Source organism: Homo sapiens, chromosome 1, assembly GCF_000001405.40.
Source record: "Homo sapiens chromosome 1, GRCh38.p14 Primary Assembly".
Classification (NCBI taxonomy): Eukaryota; Metazoa; Chordata; class Mammalia; order Primates; family Hominidae; genus Homo; species Homo sapiens.
The window spans coordinates 195332909-195339828 of record NC_000001.11 but is presented as its reverse complement, the minus strand read 5'-3'; the positions used below and the strand labels follow the sequence as shown (position 1 = coordinate 195339828).

Genomic DNA, 6920 nt, shown 5'->3' with positions numbered 1-6920 from the left:
TGAATTAATGATAATGTGAAAATAAATTTGTTATATAGCAAAAAGAAAAGTAACAAACAAAAAGAGAGTATGTTTTCTTACCATCTAAGAAATTCCATAGTCATGTGAAGCCCCACTTTTGTGGTTTTTGTTTGTTTGTTTTGTGCATCTCTCCAAGCTTATCTTCAGGGATCAGCAACATATTTCTCGCAATTTTCCCAAGATAGCTAGACTCTTGGGGACAAAACTTGAAGGATATGGAGTTTAATAACATATGGTCTTAATCATTAAGGGGATTCAAATGTAATAGGGCATAAAATATAAATAGATATATTTTAATATAGTATAGTAATGAGACAGATATATGCACCATATTCTATGGGAACAAATATCAGCACATGACATAGTTTGGTGTTTAAAAAATGCTGATTGATGGATAGATAGATGGATGGATAGATGGATGGATGGATAGATAGATAGATACATAGATAGATAGATTAATGAAGTATGTAAAGCAAAGGAGCTATCATTGGGGATAAAAAAAAGTGAAACACCACTATGACTGTAATGAGAAATAACAGAGATGCCTGCCAACCAGAACTCTATATATAGCACTATTACTTATTATCAGAGAAAAATTCAGGTCTATTGTTTATTATTTTTTAAATTAACCTCATTTATTACTTGCAGTGGAGACTCAGATTTTTAATTATTAGAGAAATGAGAACTAAAACATAAAGGTCAATGTCTGCTTTACTAATACAATGTTCTCACTAGAGCTGTGGACAAACATAACTTTCTCATGAGGAATTTTGAGATAATTATGTCAATCGTGTGTCTGAGAAGACATAATTGAAAAACTTTTCCTCTTTTCTTTTTGGATTTTACTTTTGAGATATTTGGTATAACCTTACTTTGTTTTCCCATTTATTTTGTTGAAAATACTAGGGACTGAAATGCAATATGAAATGGCTGAATATAGGAAGAAAATTAGATATGTAAAGGGAGACAAAAACAACTTTATCAACCATAGTTCTTACAGTAACTTGTAATCTTAAAAAATCTTGTCTTAGTTTGGGCCCTTTTAACAAAGTACCTTGGACTAGGAGGCACATACAAAACAGAAATGTGTTTCTCAAAGTTATAGATACAGGAAGTACAAGATCAAGGTGTCAGCATAGAAGAGTTCCACTGAGGGCTTTCTTCCAGGTTGCAGACTGCTGCTGTCTTCTCCTTATATTCCTTATATACTCAAATGGCATTAAAAAGGTAAGAGATTTCTCCAAAGTTGTTTTTATAAGGGCAATAATACCATTTCTGAGGGTTCCACCTTCATGACCTAATTACCTCCCAAAGGCCCTGCCTCCTAATGCCGTCGCATTGAGGGTTAGCATTTCAACATATGAATTTGGTAGGGAAAGAGGGAGGCATGAAAACATTCAGTTTATAACACTGAACTTAGAATAATTTTGGTGCTTTTCATTCTATATCATGCAGATATTTTGTGTTCTGAGCTACACATTTAGATATAAAAAATACATGGGTCTCCCTTTCATGAGAAATAATTGAATTTTGCATACACAAATCTTTTTTGTTACATGACTGATTAAATTGGAGAGCGCACCATGGAAAAGCAATTTCTATATCTCTATATCAAAACTGAGGGCAATTCTTATGTTACATACAAACATTGATTTAAAAAAATCTAATTGCAATATTTGGGTTATATCCACATTATTTATATGAATTCTGATTGGGAGAAAAACGTAGAATGCATTCTAAACTACATAGTGTATATGATCCTAAGCCAATCCTCAAATCTTATCAGTTCTTCAGTTCTCATCTCAATTCTATCTTCTTCAGCTTTTCACAGTTATTCCTGGGCATCTGTATCCTTCTCTTTTTCTATTCCATACATAGCATTTTACAAATATCAATACTATGAATTTGGAAATCTGATATTTTCCATCTGTCACATTTTTATGTACTAGCATGTGTTCTCAAGTTGTTTCCTGCTGTATCCATTCTAAAGATGTTAATTTCTGTTCAGTCAGGATTCTTTCAACTACATGGAACAGAAAAAAGTTATCTTAAAATCTAAGTATATTTTGCCTCAAAAAAGAGAAAATCTATAGTGAAAATTGGCTGTGTGACTGGTCAGTGTTGAAGTTAAGTTGCATGCTTAGAAATGTGAGTTATTTTCATCCTTTCGTTCTGATATCCACAATATTGGCTTCATGCTAAATCTCTGTCTTCTCGTAATTGTTGGATATTCACCAGAAGTGTACAGGCCAAATTTTCTCATTCAAATTTGTAACGACTGTCTATTCATTATTTTGACATTGAGGAAATATTTCTCAGATCTTATTTACAAGGTCAGAGTATGTATCTATTACTGAGCTAGCCTCTGCTAAAAACTGAATTACAACATTAGGCTTACATTCTCTGCCACAGCAAAAAAATAAAAAAAACAACAAAAAAGAAAACCTATGAAGGGGAGACAGGAATTCATCAGGACTATTTCCCAAGATGATCCTGCTAAGACAGGAAACGGTAAACAACAGGTCACAAAATCCCACTGATAACAGAGGATACAGTAAAGAAACCGGCATAAACTAGCTACAATCAAGATGGCAGGAAAAATGACCTTCACTGCTCCTTTTACACTAATTATAATGCACTAGCATGCTAAAAAACATTCCTGCCAGTGCCATGACAATTTACAAATACCACAGTAACATCCAGAAGTTACCCTATATGGCCTGGAAAGGGGAGAAACCCTGGTCCTTAAGCCTCCCTCTCCACCCCTGCTTTCCCAGAAAACTCATGAATAATTTACCCCTTGTTTAGCACATAATGAAGAAATAGTCATAAAGTAGCCAGCTAGCAGCACTCCATCAGTGCTACTCTGCCTATGGGGTAGCATTGCTCTGCCTATGAAGCAGCCATCCTTTTATTTCTTTACTTTTCAATAAACTTGCTTTCACTTTACTATGTGGGCTCGCTCTTGAATTCTTTCCTGCTGGGAACCAATAAAGCATGTGGCTTCCTGGGATGAGCCTCAATTTGGGGGTTCACCTGTAACAAAGGGACATTAAATAACCTTGATTGATTTACATTAATCAATACATTAATCAAAGCCCAACCAGAAAAGAGATTACCTGAAACTGTTTTTTTCTGTTTGTTTGTTTTAGCTGCTCACAAAGTAATCGAATGGTTTGAATCTAGGTAATTAACAATGCTAATTTTCATTGCCTCAAAGCCCAGATCTGGGGAAGGTGGCATCTTAAGCTGCCTTCAAGCTTAATATTTTCTAATTTCTGAGATAAGCAATGTATTGCTCGGATAGAGCAACTGCTTAGTATTATTTCCTAAGATATAGTATTAGATATAAAACAGTTTCAGTATAATATTAGTGACATAAATTTGTGGAAATTAGAATATTATGTATTTATTTAAACTGGAGTGATAATCATATTAGAAATACAGAATGCCATCTTGTATATTGTATTAGAGTACATGGTATGATAAATTAAAGAAGATATATTCTCTCAACTTTTTTAATAAAAATTATACAAACTGAGTTTAGAAGAGAAATTGCTTTTCTGGAAAAATGATAGAATTAACTTGAGACTATATCTTTAATTAGAAAAAAACTTGACATAAAAGAACACCAAAAAAATTAATACTCTTACTTTAATCTGCACTTGTTATATTAATATTTAAATATTTTCATATATTAGAATATTTAATATTACAAAGTAATAAAATAATAGAAAATAGTTCCTCTGTGGCTAATTATATTATCTTCCTGATCATGTACAAATTGAAGATCTTTATGGTTGCTTATCTTGTCCTTACTACTAGGGAATGATCTTTTATGAGGCTGTTGGATTAGTTGGATGATAGTGATCAGTGGTGAGGGCGGAACTTAAGTGTTGAGGGCGGAACTTAAGCATTTTGTATGCAGAAAAAAAATGAAGAACCAAAAAGAGAAGAAAGAAAAAAAAAAAGCTATGTTAACCTGAAATTTCAGAATTCCAGAGAACTGCATAAGAGCTTATTCATCAATACAAAGTATTTTATAATCACTTCCACATCTACAGTTTGAAATTTCAGGAATGAGGGGTTAAGTAGCATTGTTACATGGGAAATTGTTACTCATATACTAAGCAAATTAGTGAATTTGATCCAGTTTTAACCTTCTTTTGATGGGATCATAGCTAAGCTCCTATGGATGCTGATTAATGCGCTATTTGTTAGACAGATGCATAGAGTCAACTCGCTGGGTTAATTTTGTGAACATTACTCAGGGAAATATAAGGTAATTTGCACTTAGGTGGCTTTCAGCATGTTGTCTGACAACAATTTTCCAATAGCTAAGAAAGAGAAACCACTTTTATTTAAAATTGTAGGAAGTCAGAAATAAAAGGGTGCCTTGAAGATAGTCTGAAGAAGGGTAAAATATTGCTAGAAATAAGAAAAATAGAAAATATTCAATGGAAAACATTCTTCTAAACTCTATACAAAAGAGAGTTGAATGTTGTCTTACAATTTTTTTTAATTAATGAACTTGAAAATTCAAGTTCCTTGATAAGAGCAGATATCAGTAAAATTAAAAACAACAATAATGAAGAAAATTAATCAAAAAAGCTACATTTTTGATAAGCTTCTAGCAAATATGACCAAAAAAACATGAGCGAGAACATAAATTAACAATCAAAGAATAAAGGAAGAAATACCACAACAAATCTCACACGTATTAAAACATTAATAAAGAAATATTTACTCATATACATTGTAATTTTAGATGAAATGGATTGATTCTTGGAAACCATAATCTCATCCCAAAATGTAATAGATCATCTGAATAATCCTATAATTATTAAATAAAGTATAATACTAGTTTAAAAACTTTCAAATATGAAATATCCATGTCTGGATTGTTTTACAGACAAATTCTACCACATAATTTAAGAAATACACAAATTATGTGCAATCTATTTAAGAAAATAGAAGAGAAGGGAATGCTTTCCATTCTATTTTGAGGCCAGCATTATCCTCATGCCCAAACCAGACAAACATAGTAGCAGAAAACCAAAAATAAAAGCCAAAAAGCTATTGAGTCATATTCCTCATGAACCTAGATACAAAATACTCAACAAAGTATTCCTAAGTTGAATGAAGCATTTAATAAAAACAAAAATACCTAAGTAGTTTTATTCGTAGTTGAATACAAGGCTGTTTCAATATTTGAAAATCAATAAATGTAATCTATTATATTAACAGATACAAAAAGATTATTTCAATCACTGTAGAAAACGTTTGATACACTTTAATAACATTTATGATGAACATTAAACAAAGTAGAAATAGAAAAAATATACTCAAGCTGCTGAAGTACATCTACAAATATCCGTTTCATCATACTTACTGGAGAAAGCCTGAGACTTTTCCCTCTAAAGTTGGAAATAAGGCAGGATAGTACATATTGGACACTTATATTCATCATACAGTAAGTCTTTGCCAAAGCAATAAAGAAAAATAATTATAGTGTAATTGTTATAGAGTATACAGAATATAAACTGTCCCATTTGCAGATGGCATTCTCACCTATATGGAATATATTAATACATCTACCATAAATATTCTAGAATAAATAAGTTTAGCAAGGTTCCAGGATACATGGTCGACAAATAGAAAACGTTTTCTAAATACTAAAAAAAAATTTGGAAAAAACAAATTTAAAATCACACTATCAATTGTCCTCACTCTGCAAAAAGTAGAAAATGTAAATATAAACAACCATGTACAATATCTGAGTGTCAAAAAACCAAGTCTAAAGAAGTAAATCCAAGAAGAACTAAATAAATGGGAAGACATACATGTTTGTGGATTGGAATATTTAAACTAGTAACAATGTCAATTCTCCCTAAACAGATCTATATTTTTAAGCAATTCATATTAAAATGTCAACAATACTCTGTGGATATAAACAAGTTGCATCTACCTTTTATATGAAAAACCAAAAAAATTAACATAGACAAAACAATTTTGAGAAAAAATAAATTTGGAAGAATTAGAGCATGTGAATTTAAGACACTATAGCTCTAGTAAATTGGAGAATGTGGTGGTTGGCAGATAAATAAACACATGGATAAAAGAAACAGAATAAAGAAGCTAGAAATTGACCTACATGGTTACAGTCAACTGATTTTAGGCAAATATACAAAAGGCCCCTTAACAGAACAACTAGAGATTTTTCAACAAATAGTATTAGATATTTATAGAAAAAATCAATGAAACTCAACCAAATTTCACATCTTATTCAAAGATTAACTCAAGATGTATAAGACTTAAACGCAAAACACAACAAAACTTTGGAAAAAAAATAAGAGAACAATCTTTAGTATCTAGGACAAGGTGAAGTATTCTTACTCATGATACCAAAATTATAATCAATAATTTTTTTAAATGTAAACTGACTTCCTCAAAATTAAATGCTTTTTTACACTGCATAAAGAGCACGTTTAAGTATATTAAGAAGACAAGACACAGTCTAGGATAAACTATTTGTAGATCACATATTTGACATTCAAAGTATATTAAAAACTCTTTGAATTAGTTTGTTAGGGCTGCCATAACAAACTACTACAGACTGGTAGCTCAAATAACATAAATTCATTTTCTTACAATCCTGTGTGCTAGCAATCTAACATCAAGGTGTGAGCAGAGATGGTTTCTTCTGAGGCCTCTCTCCTTGACTTGTAAATGGCTAACTTCTCCCTGTCTTCATACAGTCTTTCCTTTGCCCATATCTGTGTCCCAGTTTCTTATTTAATGAGGATACCAGTCACAGTGGATTATGGCACACCCCAATGACATCATTAAACTTAATTACCTCTTTAAAGTTCCACTCTCTAAATGCAGTCATATTTTAA

The 6920-nt window shown here is 31.6% G+C and overlaps 1 annotated feature.

The window, feature by feature from the left end:
* Positions 2773–3301: an enhancer, noted in NCBI's record as "NANOG hESC enhancer chr1:195305658-195306186 (GRCh37/hg19 assembly coordinates)". NCBI's record gives its function as "activates a minimal SCP1, AML or CMV promoter by ChIP-STARR-seq in naive H9 embryonic stem cells {active_cell/tissue: H9 hESC(naive)}" and the evidence as "EXISTENCE:reporter gene assay evidence [ECO:0000049][PMID:30033119]".